Genomic DNA, 21,093 nt, shown 5'->3' on the forward strand with positions numbered 1-21,093 from the left:
GTTCTTTCCTTTTCGTGAAAGATAGCACATATTTGCAGCCAAAAAGCTCTATGGGCCCAGTTCTTGGCTGTAGAATTATAAAAGTCTAACAGATTTATTTCATTTAGTTCAGCCTCTATCCCCTGCAGTCCAAGTTGGCAAGCTTTCTGCTAAAATGGTTGATCGGATCTATAATTCAAGTATATAATCCCCTGTCGAGCAACACACTTAGTCCTCTTTCAGGAGTAAACTATCTGGATAGGTTGAGAATCTTTCAAATCAAGTGCTGTTTTCTTTCTGCTGAGCACAATCTTTTTCAGTTTATCTCCCTCCTCTCACATTTTATTAAAGTTAGCAAAAAAAGTGCTACCCAAATACTTTGCTTATAAAATATCTTCTCTAAATATCAGGTTCATCACTTACAAGTTCCACTTTCCACTCAACAGAACACAATTCTGCCAAGTCCTCTACCACTTCATGATAAATATCACTGTGTTAGTTAACTAGTGCTGCTTGAACAAACTACCACAAATTAAGTGGCTCAGAGGGAAACTTATTGTCTGAAATTTGGGGGCTAAAAGTCCAAAATAAGAATATCGACAGTGTTGATTTTTCCCTTTGTTTCCAAATTTTATTTTGGATTCAGAGGGCACATGTGCAGGTTTGTTACATGGATACATTGTATAACATTAAACACTGGGTTATAGATGATCCTGTCACCCAGGTAGTGAGCATAGTGCCCAATAAGCAGTTTGTCAGCCTATGTTCCCCTCCCTTCTTCCCTCCTCTAGTAGTCCCCAGTGTCTATTGCTTCTGTTATGTCCATGTGTACTAAATGCTTAGCTCCCACTTATGAGAACATGTGGTATTTTGTTTTCTGCTCTTAGAATAATTTGCTTAGGATAATGGCCTCCAGCTGCAAAGGACATGATTTTGTTCTTTTTATGACTGAGTAGTATTCCATGGTTTACATGTACTGCATTTTCTTTATCCAGTCCTCCATTGATGGGCACCTAGGTTGATTCCATGCCTTTGCTGTCATGAATACCGCTGCAATGAACATATGAGTGTACATGCCTTTTTGGTATAATGATCTAATTTCCCTTGCATGTATACCCAGTAATGGGATTGCTGGGTCGAACGGTAGTACTGTTTTAAGTTCTATTTTCTCCATTTTGTAGTTCCGTTTTAACTTTTAGAGAAATCTACAAACTGCTTTCCACAGTGGCTGAACTAATTTGCGTTCCCACAAATGGTATATAAGCATTCCCTTTTCTCTGTAGCCTCTCCAGTATCGATTTTTGACTTTTTAATAATTGCCATTCTGATGCCAGAAGATGGGATCTCACTGTGGTTTAATTTGCATTCTCTAATGATTAGTGATGATGAGTATTATTCTGTATGTTTGTTGGCCACTTGTATGTCAGAAGTGTCTGTTCATGTCTTTTGCTCATTTTAAAATTAGGTTGTTTGTTTTTTGCTTATTGATTTATTTAAGTCCCTTGTAGATTCTGGATATTAGACCTTTGTCAGATGGATAGTTTGTGAATATTTTCTCCCATTCTGTAAGTTGTCTGTTTACACTGTTGAATATATATATGTGTATGTGTATGTATATATATATATATATGTATATATATGTGTGTGTGTACATATATGTGTGTATATATATATATATATATACACACACACATATATATATGCCATGCAGAAGCTCTTTAGTTGAATTAGGTCCCAGTTGTCAATGTTTGGTTTTGTTGCAATTGCATTGGGGGACACAGCAATAAATTATTTTCCAAAGCCAATATCAAGAAGAGTATTTCCTACATTTTCTTCTAGGATATTTATGGTTTGAGGTCTTATGTTTAAATGTTTAGTCCATCTTGAGATAATTTTTGAACATAGTGAAAAATAGGGGTCCAGTTTCATTCTCTTGTATATAACTAGCAAGTTACCCCAGCACCTTTTATTGAATAAAATTATCCTTTACTCATTTTTGTCAACTTTGTCAAAGATCAGGTTGTTGTAAATTTACAGCTTTATTTCCAGGTTCTCTATTCGGTTTCATTGGTCTTTGTGACCACTTTTGTACCAGTATCATGCTGTTTTGGTTACTGTAGCCTTATAATATAGTTTGATGTTGGGTAACGTGATGCATCCAGCTTTGTTCATTTTATTTAGGATTGTTTTGCCTATTAAGTCTCATTTTTGATTCCATACTTTTTAGAATAGCTTTTTTACTATTTTTTGCAAAAAAAGATGCTGGTATTTTCATAGGAATACCATATAATCTGTAAATTGCTTTGGGCAGTATGGTTATTTGAAGAATATTGACTTATCCAATCCATGAGCCTGGATTACTTTTTTTATTTATTTGTGCCATGTCTGATATATCTCAGCAGTGTTTTTCTTTCTTTAGAGATCTTTCACCATCTCAGATGTATCCCTAGGTGTTTCAATTTTTTTTTTTGCTATTGTAAATAGAATTATGTTCTTGATTTGGCTGCCAGCTATAATGTTATTTATGTATAGAAATGCTATTGATGTTTGTACATTGTGTAACCTGAGATTTTACTGAAGTAATTTATCAGTTCTAGGGATGTTTTGATAGAGTCTATAAGTTTGTTTCTTCTAAGGGCTGTGAGAAAATAATCTATTCTAGGCATCTCTTTTTGGCTCAAAGATGACTATTTTCCCCCTATATCTCTTCATGCTGTCTTCCATTAATTTATATCTGTGTCCAAATTTCCTGTTCTTACAAGGCCACTAATCAGATTGAGGCCAAACCCAATGATCACACTTTAATTAATTATCTTTGTAAAGGCTTATCTCCCAATAAAGTCACATTCTGAAGTACTGGGGATTACAATTTAAACATATAAATGTTAGGGAACACAGTTCCATTTACAACATCAATAAAAATTAGAGACAATAGTCACTGTGATTTTTTTTTCTACTAATTTGACATCAACACTACATAGTAACTATGAAGTGTGCATGAAGCCAGACTGCCTTGGCATATCCCTGTCCCGCTATATCTTGAGATGTGACTTTTGGAAAGTAATTTTGTGCCTCTAGGAACTGTTCAACATAACAGATAAATAGTTTCTTTAACTGTTTTGTTACGTACCAAATGAAGTAATATTATGAAGTCCTTCAAGAAATGCTTGACACATAGTTAATGACATACATTAGTTTTTACACATAGGAGTTAGATAAAGGAATTATTAGATATTTCTTTAAAAAATAATGCTTGATATCTACCAGCTTTGTCTTTCCTATGGTAGCTCCTCTTTATCGATGTTGCCCCTTGTTAATCAATTTCAATAGAAAAACTGATTATAGCACCCTTCATTCACTACCAGAAAAAAAAAGGGGCAGACAATAATTTGGATCTTAAAAATTTGAGTCTTAAGACACATAAAATGATAGTAGCTAGATTCTTGGATAATCTCAATGGTCATTGAAAATCTGCTGCTAAGAAACAGTAATATTTTCTACTTCTTTTCTCCTTGAAGCAGGTCTTACAACAATTTCCTCAATTTGGAGACCTGCCTTTTTTTTTTAATAAAGATCCCAAAAAGACCTCTAAGTCTAGCAACAGAACCCATTTCAAGTTACATAATTAAGAATCTTTCATTCTTGATTAATTACAGTTTGGTCCTTTGAGAAATTAAGTTTCAGTACTCTTAGAAATATATTATGTTGCTATGGTCTGAATATGTCACTTAAAATTGTTGCTGAATTTCTCAGTCTGTAGAACTGTAAGAAATAAATTTATTTTGTTTATAAGTCACTCAGTTTCTAGTATTTTTTAATAGCAGCCCAAACAGACTAAAACATATAGTGTGACAATGCAAATGGATATAAACATGTCAATGATGTTCCAAGTCTCTCTTGAATGTTATGATCCCAAAGGAAGCTTGACATAACTTGTAACACATGCTATTTAAGAGCAATCTATGATTTTCAAAAACCTGGATGACTGGGTTCAGGGCCAAAGTGGTAGAGGTGTGAGTGATGTACATTCCAACTGTTGCTAATAAACCACTTTCAAAATGTTAGCTTGGCATTACTGAAAACTCAGAGAAAAATGTGAGAGACTGAAGTGGCCATATGGGACTCTTTATCTAGCTATGTTTAAAGATACAAAAGGGGGTTTTATATTTAGCTAAGTTGGTAAACTCCATGAAAAAGAAATATGTATGTTGTAGTAGAATAAGGACATAGAGAATCATGAATCGAATTGTGGAAATCCCAGAATAGGTTTTGTTTAAATTTTTAGTGGTAAAAAATTCCAAAATTACTTCAATCTTATTTTTGAAAAACACAAGAAACACAAACCCATAAATTATTAATAGTTGGGTCAGTAGTCTAGGCAAAAATAAATAAATAAATAAATGCTTTCTATCTGAAATGCAAGTGATAATAAGGCAATGAGAAGATGTCTGATGAAAAACCAAAGTAGTGGCTACAACATCTTGATCAGTTAAAAATAAGTGCTGTATATACTCTATAAATTTCCATCATCTTGTCCATATGTCTGTTTATCTAATTATTTATTTTCTCTTCTTTGCTCTAACTAATGTAATGTGAAATTTATACCTGTATATGAAAGTTTTTAGTTAAACTTTGCACTTGCTTAAGAATTTGTAGAACATATAAAAGTTATTGGGACAGAACTAAGTAACATAATGAAATTATTCAGATATTCTAGTGCCCAGATGTCTAATAGTATCTCCTTTGGACTTAATATCTAGAAATTTCCAGTCTCCACTGGGAAGGATTATTGTTTCCAATCATACAGTTGTATTTTCTTAAGTAGTTTGATTGTATTCACAGGAATAAATGGGTGCATACACTGAGCAAACAAAGGGAAGGATATAGTTATTGGTTAATTTTAGCTATCTAACATCCTTTCACTTGGTGATTTGTGTTTTATTCAGTATGTAGCTCTGATGAAATTGCCAATAAAAGGACCAAGCTTCACTGATCACAAGAAGTAATATGGAATCCATACTATCATATTCCCATTTTCTGAAAACTTAACCATGAGTTGGGGCTTCAAGGACAGGAGGCTTCTGACATTGGGTTATCTGATGGCACAACACCAAAGAGACATTCTACACTGGTTTGAACTGAGAGCAATGGACCTGAGACCATTCTTGAAACCAGGTATACTGGGTAATCATTTGATTTTTTTTTTTTTTTTTGCTACTCAATGTCATATTACTAAATCATTGATTCATGTTTAATTATGTAAGCAAATATTTCTATTGCTTATAATTGAAGAATTCTTAGGATATAAACCTAAAAACAAAATAATTTTAAAAAATAAAATATTGGCTTTCAGAAAATTCAAAAATATACAGATTTACAATTATATATTTATTTATCAATAAATAAGAAAGCATGAACCATAATCATAGTAAAAGCTCAGAGATAATGGGTAATTTCTACAGGTAAGAGTTATTAACTAAAAATACGGGCATATTTTATTATAATTCACAATAAAATCAGATGTTTTTATTTATATATAATACTATATAACTGATTTCAAATTAAGCTCAATCAGAGCTCAAAAAAGTGGTTAATGGTTAGTTAAACCATGATATGTATTATGAATATGTTATAATAATGTCAAAATATAGGTATTGCCTTAATCAAATATGTAAAGATTCTCTCATGAAATCAAATTTCTCAAATAATGTTAGTATAGAATGCTTAATAAGAACATTGAAGGTGATTTACAACTTGAATAGTTTCAATTTTTTTAACAATTAAGTTTCTTAGCAAACATGGAAAGTGGAATGCATGAGTAGGTAATATTGAGAATACATTTCAGAGATAGAAACCCATTCTGAAGCAAGGAGCACTTTGTTGATTACAGTAAAAGTTATGTCAGATACAATGTTTGGAATGATGGCCATCATGATAGTGTTGAAATTATTAAACATTTTTACAAGGTGCCTGGGACTCTGCTAAGTCATTGTATTAGTCTGTTTTCGCTGCTGATAGAGACTTACCTGAGACTGGGGTGGGGGAGTGGGGAAAAGAGGTTTAATTGGACTTACAGTTCCACATGGCTAGAGAGCCCTCAGAATCATGGCAGGAGGTGAAAGGCACTTCTTTCATGGTGGCAGCAAGAGAAAAATGAGGAAGAAAAAGCAGAAAGCCCCAATTAGCCCATCAGATCTTGTGAGACTTATTCATTTTCACGAGAATAACATGGGGAAAGACCAACCCTCATGATTCAATTACCTCCCCCTGGGTCCTGCCCACAACACGTGGGAATTCTGGGGGATACAATTCAAGTTGAGTTTTGGGTTGGGACACAGCCAAACAATATCAGCCATTTATGAGTTTATTCTTATTTAATTTTAATAAGACTCTTACTAGATGAGGATATATTTTTGGAGAATGTGTGTATAGAACAGAAAATCAGAAAGCATTTGCGAGACTTATTTTAACAGTACAGGGTAAAGGTTTTCATTTTCATTCCCTAAAATTATGTTGCACACCTTGGAAATTGGTCTTAGTTATATAGACAGAGCCATGAAGAGTAACAATATTTATGGGAAAAGAAACCAGGTTGAATTTTATAGTTTTGCTTTAGTCAGATCCTAAAAGTTAAGTGTGATGATTTTCTTTTCTTTCTTTTTTTTTTTTTTTTTTTTTGAGACGGAGTTTCACTCTTGTTGCCCAGGCTGGAGTGCAATGGTGCAATCTTGGCTCAACGCAACCTCCACCTCCCAGGTTTAAGTAATTCTCCTGCCTCAGCCTCCTGAGTAGCTGGGATTACAGACATGCAACAACACCCTTGGCTAATTTTGTATTTTTAGTAGAGACGGGGTTTCTCCATGTTGGTCAGGCTGGTCTCGAAATCCTGACTTCCGTTGATCCGGCCACCTCAGCCTCCCAAAGTGCTGGGATTACAGACATGCAACAACACGCTTTGCTAATTTTGTATTTTTAGTAGAGACGGGGTTTCTCCATGTTGGTCAGGCTGGTCTCGAAATCCTGACTTCCGTTGATCCGGCCACCTCAGCCTCCCAAAGTGCTGGGATTACAGGCATGAGCCACCATGCCAGGCCAAGATTAATGATTTTCTCTTGACTCAGAAATGTAACACAGTAGGCAAGCTGTTGAATTTTGCATAAATTAAAGCATATTTTTGCTCTTCTAAGCCATACCTGTGCATATAGTTAACTTTTTCAGGTAATTACTTCCAGGTGCTTGCCTATAGGAATTCATTGCAATGCAATGAAATCAGAGTAATAAACTCATCAGCAAAAATTAACCCATAGGCATGTTACAGAGACACGTATACTTAAATGACATCAGTATTATAATTTGTGGATTTTAGATGTTTATATTCATGATGAAGACAATCTCCTCCTAGGTAATTAAGAAGATCTACATACAACTAGGTATATTTGACTTTATCCTAAGCTCACTGGACTATTTCATATGCCCAATTTTTAAATGGGGCTTTTAGATTTTTACCATTAAACATATAGAAATCTTTATGATTTGATTGTCCCATCATTCTAGTTAAGTAAAATACAATGCAACTTCCATTTTACTATCTGTTCATCTTGATTTCAGGCTCTGTGAAGAAAATTTAAATTGAATATTTAACATTAGCTTTGGTGGAAAGAACTGAAATATTTCTTATTTTAGCATTTTATTTTTTAAAAATATTGTCTTAAATTGCTGAATTTACTTTAAATCACATGTAAGAATAATAAATTTCCATCCATTTCAAGTTCTTATCTATGGTACTTAGAGTTGTTGCATAATATTTTGATGATTTTAAGAGTTTACAGAGACTTTATATTGGTATTTATGTTAGAACAAAGAAAAGCATTTTATTTCAAGCAGGAAACATTCGTTGAGCGCCTTATTGATATTTATTAAATTCCTGTGGTGTAAGTATTGTCAGCTGCAGGGAACACCACTCATAAAAACATGTAAGGTCTATGTAAATAAGTATAGAAATATGAGTAAATAAGACTAAAATTATATACCTATATATTTACATATATATAGCCATTTTAAAAATATATCTTTTGTTATATATTTTGGGCTTGTGTTTTATTTTTGCTCAAATCATTATGTTATTCTTATAAAACAGTACCACTGAGCAACATTCAGGTAGAAAGTCAACTTTAGCAGGATTATTTTCTTTTTTTTTTTCAGCTCTATTTTCACTTACACATAGTTAGGAGCATTACAAGAAATAAGGAATGCTTAGTTGAACAAAACCCCTCTAGAAAACTTAAAAAGAATTACAAATACATGCTAGAAACACAAATGATTCTTTAATTTACTCTGTGTGAAAAAAACTCTAAATTTAGATTTTAAAAATCTCAGAAAAGTAGAATTTTGAATTTCAAAGACATTTGAAATTAGATGAAGTTATGTATTGAATTACAATAGATTTGGAGGGAATATTTAGATTCTACCTGTTATAGCATTAATGTATTTTAAGAAAAGCATGTGTTTAAAACTTACTTACCAATGCAACAGTGTTGGAAAGTGAAGGCTAATCAGTTTTTCCACTATGAGGGCTCCACACTCATGCATGGATTGATTTCAGTTATAAAAGTGCTTGAGTCTGTGAGTTCAACCACTTTCTCTCAGGCTCACTCTTTCTTTGCCCTGACACCATCAGATGAAACAGCAAGAAGGCACTCACCAGATGTGGGCCCATGATCTTGTACTTCCCAATATTCAGAACTGTTAGCCAAAGAAATTTCTGTTTATTTTAAAAGTCTGTGCTACTCTGTTAGAGCAGCATGAAACAGACTAAGACATCATCAGTGCATCACATATCAGTGACCCCTTATTTGTAAATTTGGTGGATATTATTTTTGAAAAATAATTGAGGCCACCATAGAGACAACATCACTTAGGTATTATGAATAATTAGGCAATCTGAGAGACCTGTCAATTCACAAAGAAACCTTACATAAGGCAGCCTTTTGTAAGCATTATGGTAACACAAATATATGGAAATACTCTTGAAAGGACTCGCTGATAGAGAGTACTGGGAGTTATTTTGCAGGAAGCTAACAACAACAACAAAAATCCAAAAGCAAATTGGACTGCAGTCCTGAGCACCTGGGAATGTGGTGGCCAAGAACTTGAATTTCTGCTTACTATAATGGAAGAGGGAATACACAAAATACAGAGGCATGGAGTCAGGAAGCCAGTTTCAGAGAAGTAGGAAATTACAAGTGCAAGAAGACGGAGTAACAGCTTGATCTAAATTTGTAGTTACAAGGGTTTGGTAGATGATTTGAGCACGGATCTTTACAGCAACACTGAAGTTAATGATAGCAATCATTTGTACCTCAGCAAATGATTGAGCTGGGTCTAAAATTGCTAAAAACTAAAATGTGTGAAGAGCAGTTTACAATTTCCTAGATTAATAGGGATTTCCACTATTTGGCTACCAGCAGCAAAATGTTTGGTAAAAAACCTTCCACAAGTTAGACTCTTTGATATTTATAGGTTAAAATAAACCGTAATTTATCAGTTGCTAATCATGTAAAACAAAAGCAATCCAGAACTCAGCATAAAAATAGATATTTGTTACCATGCTCACTGGAAAGTACACCAACTGGGAAATCTGTGTTTCATATTTTAGATTTACAGGTGCAATGGCCTGGCTCTACTTTAAGCATCAGTTCTAAGAATAAGTTGGGGCATTGTTGTTCTGGGTGGCTTTTACTCTGGAATCAGGGGGTTACCTGAGGAATGTTCTTATCACAGCAATGGTAAACACAAGAAGGCAAATAGAAACGTGCTTCAAAAAGACTTAGAATAGACACACTATCATTTCATCTACAAACAACTGGGCAAAACTAGTCAAAGGCCAAGGTATCTATAAAAGTAATGGGAATATATAGTATGTCTCTTACTAGTATCACTTCAGTTATATAAGAAATGACCTACATATAGGTAAAGATTTAGAACAATAATTCAATCAACCACCTACCACTTCCCAAATATTAACACATTTTGTGACAATCAAGACATTGTAAGAAAATATCAGAAACTAATTCAAATAAAAGTAAACTTAAGAACTACAGAAGTTGTGTTATAGTCAGAATGCTTTATCTCCCCAGATTCATATGTTGAAACTTAATATCCAATATGGCAGCATTAGGAGGGACTTTGGGAGATTAGGGCACGAGGACAGAGTCCTCATGAATGGGGTTAACTTCCTTACAAAGGAGGCCCAGGGGTGCTCATTCGCTCCTTCCCCCATGTGAGGAAACATAGAAGGCACCATCACTGAGCAAAAAGCCCTCAGCAGACCTTGAGTCTTTTGGTGCCTTTTCCTTAAAAGTGCCAGCCTCTAGAATTGTAAGAAATAAATTTCTATTGTTTATAAACTGTCCAGTTCATGACATTTTTGTTGCAACAGCAAAAATAGACTAAGATATGCTATATTTGTTAAGTTCAGAAAATAAAATTATTCTGTATAAACATGTTTAAAGAAAAAGCAGATAAAATTACAAAGGCAAGTAAATGCTAAGAAACTGTCAGTAACGATGAGTTAGAGTTGAAAAAATTAATAAAATATCTAGAAAAACACCACATAACTTGCCAAAAGTCAATGGATGAGTGAAAAACTAAAGAAAGAATTAACATGGAAGAACTATATTAGAAATGTATTGATAAGGCATTATAAAGAGATAGGAATATCAAAAACAAAAAAAGAGAGGCTAATTATAAAGAGGAAAGAATCAGAAGTGTCATCATTTATCTGAGAGGAGAAAGTGAGAAAATGAAGTGAAAAACTAAAGAGAAAATTGTTATGGATTATCCAAAATTGGTTAAAAATGTAAATTTACAGATCTAGTAAAAATATTGCCTCAAAGGCAGGATAAGATAAATAATAATCACTAATATCTGCATTATGAGTCTTCTGAAAATTAAGATAATTTGAGACAGAGATGATTTTGAAATCAGTCACAGGAAAAGACTTTATTAGAAAAATTATAGTTATAATGACATCATGTTTGGTAACAAAAACAAATAATGAGAGCCAAAAAGTAGTAAAATAATATTTCAAAAGTGAAGGTAAAAACGACTTTTATAATTGTATATCCAGTAATATCATTCTTCAAAATTAAATGATATGAAAGTATTTTTAGATACATCAAGTTTGTCACTGAAATATTTATTCTAAATGAACTGCTAAAGGACAAGCATCAAGAAAAAGAAGATATGACTAAAATTGTCTAAGACAGAAGAACATATAATTTTTAAAAAGTTTTTGTTTTGTTGGGTTTTTTAATATTTAATTTTTATTTTTAAGTTTGTATTAAGAAGGTTTAACTGTTGAGGGTTAAAAAAAAGATCAGAATCAAAAGATTCTACCAATATGTTTATATATGTCTGTGTGTATATGTTTAAAGGAAGGAAATCTTCTCATATGATAAAATATCTAGAAATCTGTAGTTCTAATATTGCCTTAACACATATACACACAGACACGTATAAACATATATGTGTTTAATTTGTCAATATTTTCTTTTACTTAAAGTATCACATGGGACACTTCAAGTAAAAGAAAATTTCTCAACAAATTAAATTAAACAGAATTAATTGGAGCAAAGAACAATTCATGAATTGAGAGAGCACTCCCAACCAGAAGAGGTACGGAGAACTCTTCCCAGCAGTGTGAGTGGTGAGCTTTGATAGTTCAACACTGCAGCAAAATGGAGAAATCACTGGATTGTCTGCAGCTAGGAATGTGGTTTATTTGTGAAGGATGTGAGGGGGTATTTACCTTATTTGACCATCATGTGATCAGTTGGCTTCCCAGGATTGGTGGAAGCTCCATTGTTAATGATTGTATGAAAAGTGGGCTGTGTATTAGTGCATTTTCATGATGCTTGTAGAGACATACACGAGACTGGGAAGAAGAAAAGATTTAATTGGACTTACACTTCCACGTGGTTGGGGAGGCCTCAGAATCATGGCAGGAGGCAAAAGACACTTCTCACATGGAGGCAGCAAGAGAAAATGGGGAAGATGAAAAAGTGCAAACACCTGATAAACTCATCAGATCTCGTGAGACTTATTCACTACCACTAGAACAGTATGGGGGAAACCGCCTCCATAATTCAAATTATCTCCCACCGAGTCCCTCCCACAACATGTGGGAATTATGGGAGTACAATTTACGATGAGATTTGGGTGGGGAAACAGAGCTAAAATATATCATTCCATCCCTGCCCCTCCAAATCTCACGTCCTCACATTTCAAAACCAATCATGCCTTCCCAACAGTCCCCCAAAGTCGTAACTCATTTCAACATTGACCCAAAAGTCTACAGTCCAAAGTCTCATCTGAGACAAGGCAAGTCCATTCTGCCTATGAGCCTGTAAAATCAAAAGCAAGCTAGTTACTTCCTAGATACAATGGGGGTACAGGTATTGGGTTCCAAATGGGAGAAATTGGCCAAAACAAAGTAGTTGCAGGGTCCATGCAAGTTCGAAATCCAGTGGGGCAGGCAAATTTTAAAGCTCCATAATGATCTCCTTTGACTCCAGGTCTCACATCCAGGTCATGCTGATTTAAGACATGGGTTCCCATGATCTTGAGCAGCTCCACTTTTGTGGGTTTGCAGGGCACAGCCTCTCTCCTGGATGCTTTCATGGGCTGGCATTGAGTGTCTGTGGCTTTTCCAGGTGAACGGTGACAACTGTTGGTGGATCTACCATTCTGGGGGCTGGAGAATGGTGACCCTCTTTTCACAGCTCCACTAGTTGGTGCCCCAGTAGGGATTCTATTTGGGGGCTCCAACTCCATATTTCTCTTCTGCACTGCCCTAGCAAAAGTTCTCCATGAGGGCTCTGCCCCTGCAGCAAACTTCTTCCTGGGCATAGAGGTGTTTCCATACATCTTCTGAAATCTAGGCAGAGGTTGCCAAACCCCAATTCTTGACTTCTGTGCACTTGCAGGCTCAACACCACGTGGGAGCTGCCAAGGCTTGGGGCTTGCACCCTCTGAAGCTATGGCCCAAACTCTACATTGTCCCCTTTCAGTCGCGCTGAAGTGGATGGGATGCAGGGAACCAAGTCCTTAGGCTGCACACTCACAGTGACCCTGGACCTGGCCCAAAAAAACATTTTCTCCTAGGCCTCCAGGCCTGTGGTGGAACGGCTTCCATGAAGACCTCTGACGTGCCCTGGAGACATTTTCCCCATTGTCTGGAGGATTAACATCAGGCTCCTTGCTACTTAGGCAGATTTATGCAGCTGGCTTGAATTTTTCCTCAGAAAATGGGTTTTTCTTTTCTATCACATTGTCAGCCTGCAAATTTTCCAAACTTTTATGTTCTGCTTCCCTTATAAAACTGAATGCCTTTAACAGCACCCAAATCACATCTTGAATGCTTTGCTGCTTAGAAATTTCTTTGGCCAGATACCCTAAATCATCTCTCACAAAGTTCCACAAATTTCTAGGGCAGGGGCAAAATACTGCCAGTCTCTTTGAGTAACCTTTGCTCCAGTTCCAAACAAGCTCCTTGTCTCCATCTGAAACCATCTTGACCTGGAATTTATTGTCCATATTGATATCAGGCTTTTGGGCAAAGCCATTCAACAAGTCTTTAGGAAGTTCCAAACTTTCCCACATTTTCCTGTCTTTTTCTGAGCCCTCCAAACTATTCCAACCTCTGCCAGTTACCCAGTTCCAAAGTCATTTCCATATTTTCAGGTATATTTTCAGCAATGCACCAATCTACTGATACCAATTTACTGTATTAGTCAGTTTTCATGCTGCTGGTAAAGATATACCTGAGACTGAGAAGAAAAGAGGTTTAATTGGACTTACAGTTCCACGTGGCTGGGAAGGCCTCAGAATCATGGCAAGAGGCAAAAGGCACTTCTTACATGGTGGCAATAAGAGAAAATGAGAAAGATGCAGAAGTGGAAACCCTTGATAAAATCATCAGATTTCATGAGACTTATTTTGATTAACAAAATGACCTCCAGTTGTATCCATTTTGATGCAAATTACAGTTTCATTCTTCTTTACGACTAAGTAACATTTCATTGTGCATATATACTACATTTTTTAATCTGCTAATCTATTGATAGGCACCTAGGTTGATTCCCTATTTTGGCTACTGCAAATAGTGCTGCAATAAACATGAGAGTATAGATATCTCTTAGATATATTGGTTTCCTTTCTTGTGGATATATACTCAGTAGTGGAATTTCTGGATCATTTGAGAGATCTATTTTTAGTTTTCTGAGGAACCTTCATACTGTTCTCCATAGTGTCTTTAGTTTTCTGAGGAACCTTCATGCTGTTCTCCATAGTGTCTTTCCCAGACACTCCATACTGTCTTTTCCTAGACAGTAAATGTACCAGTAACAGTGTATGAGGGTACTCCTTTCTCCACATTTTTGCTGGCATTTATTATTGCCTATCTTTTTGATATAAGCCATTTTAACTGGTGTGACATAATATTGCATTGTAGTTTTGATTTGCATTTCTCTGGTGTTTAGTGATGTTGAACATTTTTTTTTAAATACTTGGTGGCCATTAGTGTGTTTACTTTTGAGAAATTTCTGTTCAGACCTTTAGCCCATTCTTAAATTAGATTATTTATTCCTTGCTATTGAGTTGTCTAAGCTTCCTGTATTTCTTGGTTATTAATACCTTGTTAGATGTTTGTAAATATTTGCTACCATTCTGTGGGTTGTCTATTCATTTTGTTGATTGTTTCTTTTTCAATGCAGAAGGATTTTAGTTTTATGTAATCTCAACTGTCTATTTTTGTTTTGCTTGCCTGTATCTTTGAGGTATTACACAAAAAATTTTTGCCCAAAACATTGGAGCATTGTCTCCAATATTTTCTTCTAATAGTTTCATAGTTTCAGGTCTTATATTCAAGACTTTAATTCATTTTAATTTGATTGTTGTGTATGGTGAGAGGTAGCAGAGTAGTTCAACCTTCTGCACATAGTTGTCCAGTCTTCCCATCACCATTTATTGAAAAGACTGTCGTTTCTTCATTGTAACTTCTTGGTTCCATTGAAGACTACGAGTTGGTTATAAATTTGTGGATTTATATCTGAGTTCTCTATTCTGTTATTTTGAACTATGTATCTGTTTTTATGTGAGTACCATACTGTTTTGGTTACCATAGCTTTGTAATAAAGTTTGAAGCCAGGAAATCTCATATCTCCAGTTTTGTTCTTTTTGCTCAGGATTGCTTTTGCTATTTGGAGTCTTTTGTGGTTCCACATAAATTGTAGAAGATTTTTTTCTATTTCTGTGAAGAATGTCATTTGTATTTTGGTAGGAATTATACTGAATCTGTAGTTTGTTTTGGGTACTATTGTTATCTTATCAATATAAATTCATACAATCCATGAGCATGACCTATTTTTTCTATTTTTGTCTTCTATTTATTTCATCAGAGTTCTGTGAAATTTTTTTATATGGATCTTTCATTTATTTGATTGGATTGATTCTTAGGTATTTTATAACATATTTATTGCAGCTATTGTAAATGGGATTGCTTTCTTGATTCTTTTCAGATTGTTCATTGCTGGCATATATAAAGGCGACTGATTTTTGTATGTTGATTTTGTATCCTGCAATTTTACTGAAGTTGTTTAACAGTTCTAACAGTTTTTTTGGTGGAGTCTTTACTAAATTTCTTTACCTATTTATCCATTGATGGACATATATATTTATTCTATATTTTTGCTGTAGATAAAAGTGTAGATTTTTTTTGACATACTGATTTCATTTTTTTTTTTTTTGGATAAATACCCAGTGGTGAAATTGCTCGATCATGTGATAATTTTAAGTTTTTGAAGAACCTTCATACTATTGGTACAACCATAATGGATGTACCAATTTATATTCCCAACAAAAGCATATAAGGGTTTCCTTTTCTCTACACTTGTTATTGTTCTGTATTTTGATAATAACCATTGTAATTGGAGTGAGATGATATTTCCTTATGCTATCTCACTGTGATCTCATTTTATTTTGGTTTGCATATACCTGATGATTAGTGATATATAAATTATTTAGCCACTAAAGCCTTTAGGGTAGAGTCAGCTATAGCAGCTAATATTTGAGACAGAGTTCTAACTATAGTCTCATTTATATTTATGCTAAGCAACAGAAGAAACATTAAAACAAAGATGTCCTTTTAGAGGAGTTTATGCCTGCTGACAAATTATTCTTTATTCTATAGTTCAAATTATAAGGTATTGACCAATATTCAGTTTCTATTTGAATATGGAATAATCTAATTCAAATCTACATTGAGCCTAAAATAAGAAAATACCACTGACTGAGACAGGATTTGCTTACCTGTATGTTACCATCTATAGATAGAAGCAAATCCTTGAGGATTTCATCAGACAGTAACTGTGGGATGCTTTCTTGTATTTGGGGTCACGAATAGGGAAGTGCAAAGGCTCCATGATTAAATCATTGTATGGTTAGAGGCTACTGAGAGTTAAGGGATTAAGGTAATCCATTTGTCCACAAATTGTCAAATTATCTTTCACTTTGGTTTACTTACTCAATTTATGGAATAATTTATCTGAAAAACTCTCACTATAGGTTTCTCCTACTGTTAGATTTAAAAAAGGAGTCTAATACATGGATCTAAAAGTCTAACCCTATAGAAAGAACTAGATGTTCAATTTGAACAAGTAGTTGCCCTTGGAGGATCAATTAAATCTGTTACAGGTGAACCAGAGGATCTTTAACTTATTGTAGGAATTTAGATTTAGCTTGACATATTCAATGTTCAGTTAAGTTTTCTGCATAAGCTATCAATCATGAAATCATAATCCTAGTATTATTTTGCCACACTAAACAGAAAGAAGGCACAGGGAAAAGAGGAGAAGGGAATACGGTTGTAGTATTGTTAGTGAAGTCTTGATCCATAATCTTGGGGAAGTTGTTGTGTCTAGTATGGCATCTGCTTCTGGGAAGAAACCTCTCTCTGCCAGTTTTACCTTGAGTTATCCAACAGGTGCACAGTTTGTCTTAATCCATTTGTGATGCTATAACAAAATACCTTAAACTGGGTAATTTATAAACAGCAGAAATGTATTTTTTATAGTTCTGGAAAATAACAAGTTCAAGGTCAATGTACTAGCACTGATGTTTTATGAGAACTGCTCTTTGGTTCCAAGATGATGCCTTGTGTCTTCACGTGGCAGAAAAACAAGAGAGCTCTCCCTTTAACCCTGAGCCTTTTTAAAAGGATACTGATCCCATTTACGAGGGTAGAACCCTCATGAATTAATCACCTCATTAAGGCTACACCTCTTAATGCTGTAGCATTGAGGATTAAATTTCAACATGAATTTTAGAGGAGGACAATTATTCAAACCATTGCAGGTCCCAAAAGTATGGAGGGGCCCTACTGACTTAAGAAATGTGGACACAAGACACGAGGCCCTGCAGTTTTTTGCAATGTGGGTGCTGAGAAAAACTATGTATGGTGCCTTCCAGTGGGGCTCAAGGGCAGCTTTTCTCTGGTGTTATTTTTAGAAACCCCAATTTCCAGGTTTGAGATTATTAAAGTCCTTGTTCTCTTCAATTGGTGGGTCACAAAAGGGCACATTTTACCTGGTAAAAATATGCTTTGGCATAATGCCATTAAAGCCCTGCAATATTGAGTCATATTGAACTTTATAAGAGCAGATCATATATAAGATTCTAATATAAGTGGCACAGATTTTCCTATATATGAAACCTATATAGGACCCATTTAACTATTTCATGATGGATCAGGTGTGTTTTTCAGTGTGGGTAGATCTGTTTGAGATAAAGGCCAATGGTAATGTCTTTGGCCAAGACAATTCCATCAACTTAGCGAACTTTGTCAATTTTGGTTAAAAAATATCATTTTGTCTATTAAACCTCTCAGAAGATTAAAGATAATAAAAAACAATGGTATTGCCACTGTTTGCATAATACTTTATTTAACTCTTTGATAACTTGTCCAGACAAATGAGTGCCTTTATTATTGGAGATTTCTCCGAGAATATCTTATACAGAAAAAAGTTTTCTAATAACCTTTTAGCTACTGTTATAGCATTAGCCTTCCTGCAAGGGAAAGCTTTTGTCTAAGAACAAACAGAGTACTATAGGAACATTTTGATATGTCACTCAGGGTGGCAATTGAATAAAATGTATTTGTAGGTGTTCAAATGATCTAGCAGGTGATGGTAATGTACCTCCTGCAGACTTTATTATCATGCCAGGATTATGGGTTTGACAAATGGTTGTAGATTACTTTAGCAATTTTTAGAACAGTCACTATACCATTTTAAAAATAACTTTTACTATTCTATCTACACAATGATGAGTCATGGAGTGCAGAGCTTTTTAAAAATATAATTTAAGCTCTAAGAACACAGAAAAGGCAAGACCACTTTCTGAGCCCTCCATGAGTCCATGCTTAATATTAAATTTACATGCATTTGAATACCAGTTTTGTTTTTCAAATTAGGTATATGGCACTGTTTATTAAACAAGTTATCCTCAGTGATTTGACTTAAATAAATCCTAAGGAGTTTGTTTCAATTACATATCTTTAAAGTTTCAGTAGTAGCCAACTCAGCAGGTAAATGTGTCAGGAAATTTCTTTGGAATTAAATTTTGTTCTGATTGATGTTCGATTAGCAATTTTTTGACCCAATCAGTTTCTTCATAAGAGTTCTGGGAATTTTTGCCCAGTTCAATGGTATTATCTTAAAGTTATCAGTAACTTGTATTTGTCAGTCTTTTCCATGAATCTCCTTTAATATGAAACACTATAGTTTTATAGTTGTTTGAAATAGCTTTCAGGAAAGTACCAGAGTAAAACAATGAGTTAATTGTAGTTAATTATCTGTAGAAGAAAAGACTTAAAATGACTACGGTAAAAGATCAAATGAGAGTTCATTATAATGCAATTAAGAAGGAAATTTTGTTATTTCTATGGCACAAAATATTTCAAAGAAATGATTAAAATTGTGACTGCCAGAGTTATACCGGGACTATCAGATTTTTACAAATTACATACAGTTTCTAAAACGCATATTAACATACTCATAAAATATGACTTTAAAAAGTTTCAGCATTGCTTATTATTTGACAATTCTTCCCATGTGATTTAACATATCAAATATACCTAATTACTTTAACATCTCTCTTTTTATAAAGAGAAAAAACAACTTCATTTGAGATACTCCAGGGGCCCATCTGGATACTCCCTAAGTTAGTTCAAGGTCAAAAGGTCTTAATTTAGAATTTTGTTTTTGAAAGTTGTCAAAAATGTCAAAAGGTTTAAAACATTTGATTTAAATAGGATCACATGGCTTTGTGAAAGCATATGTATTCAATTAACTAGAGTGGCAATTAAAAGACTTCAAAGGAAAATACAGAAAGTTTCATAGCTGTAGGAAATTCTTAGCTCTTTTAACAGAAAGAACTCAGTTGTCTTAAGTAAATAAAAACCTATTAAATACAAATGATGCACAGAAAATTACCTCTATGAAACACAGAATCTGTTTCCTAGACCAATAATCTATAAAGATAAAACTTTCACAATTTCTTATTAAGGGCAGAAAATTACTTCAATAAAATCTTGTTATTTTAACAGAGTGGACCAAATTCTAGTTTTGCATCTATGTACTTTTGATATTAATTTTCAATTTTGAAAGAAAAAAACAAATAAATAATTATTTTTAAATCTTAACCAGCTTAATCACACATAAAATTCCTAGTGAACAGAGGGGTGACTTGGAGTAGAATGGCAGGCAGGTTGGCCCTAAGCAGTTTCCAGCTTGACTTCTTCCTTTAGTTATTTGGAGGCCCCAAGATTTATTTTTCTTTCACAGAGGCTTGCAGAGGAGAAATATTGGAAAAGTAATTTTATGTGTAATTAAGCTGGTTAAGATATAAAATAAATGCATATCTGATTGCCTCTTTTGGAGAGGCTAATAAGAAACTCAAAAGAATGCAACCATTTGTCTCTTATCTACCTATGACCTAGAAAGCTCCCAGCTTGGGTCTTTCCGCCTTTGCTTCAAGTTGTCCTGCCTTTCCAGACCAAACCAGCGTTCATCTTACGTATGTTGATTGATGTCTTATGCCTCCCTAAAACGCATAAAACCAAACTGTTCTCTGACCACCTTGGTCACATGTCATCAGAACCTCCTGAGGTCGCATCACTGGTAGGCATCCTCAACCTTGGCAAAATAAACTTTCTAAATTAACTGAGACCTGTCTCAGATTTTTGGGGTTCACATTTTGGTAACCACAAAGGGATTCTGAGGGGAAATGCCCCTGACTTTGACAAATCTCCTATCATTCTTGGTACCAGCATGAGACAACTTTCTGGCTCAAATGAATAGGATGATTTGCTGAGGTCTGGGAGCACCTCCTCCAGAAAATCCTTGATCTCTCAAAGTTTTGTCAAGATCTAAAGTTTATTTTGCTGTACAACTTCACTTCTACAGCGTTTTTATAATCAGTCGGTTTTCATCTTACACTTTTTTACTTTTTCTTTGTGGAGTAACCAGTCACTCTACTTAAAAACAAAGTTATTCTTTCTTTAAAAGGGGAAAAAACATGATCTTGGTGGATAAGCTTTTTGATGTGCTGCTGGATTCAGTTTGCCAGTATTTTATTGAGGATTTTCACATTGATGTTCATCAGGGATGTTGGTCTAAAATTCTCTTTTTTTGTTGTGTCTCTGCCAGGCTTTAGTATCAGAATGATGTTGGCCTCATAAAATGAGTTAGGGAGGATTCCCTCTTTTTCTATTGGTTGGAATAGTTCCAGGATGAATGGTACCAACTCCTCTTTGTACCTCTAGTAGAATTTGGCTGTGAATTCGTCTGGTCCTGGGCTTTTTTTTTTTTTTTTGGTTGGTAGGCTATTAATTATTGCCTCAATTTCAGAGCCTGTTATTGGTCTATTCAGGGATTCAGCTTCTTCCTGGTTTAGCCATGGGAGGGTGTATGTGTCCAGGAATTTATCCATTTCTACTAGATTTTCTAGTTTATTTGTGTAGAGGTGTTTATAGTATCCTCTGATGGTAGTTTGTAT

General features: G+C 34.5%; 1 long non-coding RNA gene across 1 annotated transcript in view; it reads left to right on the plus strand.

The window, feature by feature from the left end:
• LOC101927439 (uncharacterized) overlaps positions 1 to 5,948 on the plus strand; it is a 58,245-nt gene extending 52,297 nt beyond the window's left edge. The window contains exon 3 of the long non-coding RNA XR_941002.2: positions 4,926 to 5,948. This is a non-coding gene — a long non-coding RNA (uncharacterized LOC101927439). The remainder of the gene's footprint in view (positions 1 to 4,925) is intronic.
• Positions 5,949 to 21,093: the final 15,145 nt, after the last annotated feature.

Source organism: Homo sapiens, chromosome 3 (genome assembly GCF_000001405.40).
Source record: "Homo sapiens chromosome 3, GRCh38.p14 Primary Assembly".
Taxonomy (NCBI): domain Eukaryota; kingdom Metazoa; phylum Chordata; class Mammalia; order Primates; family Hominidae; genus Homo; species Homo sapiens.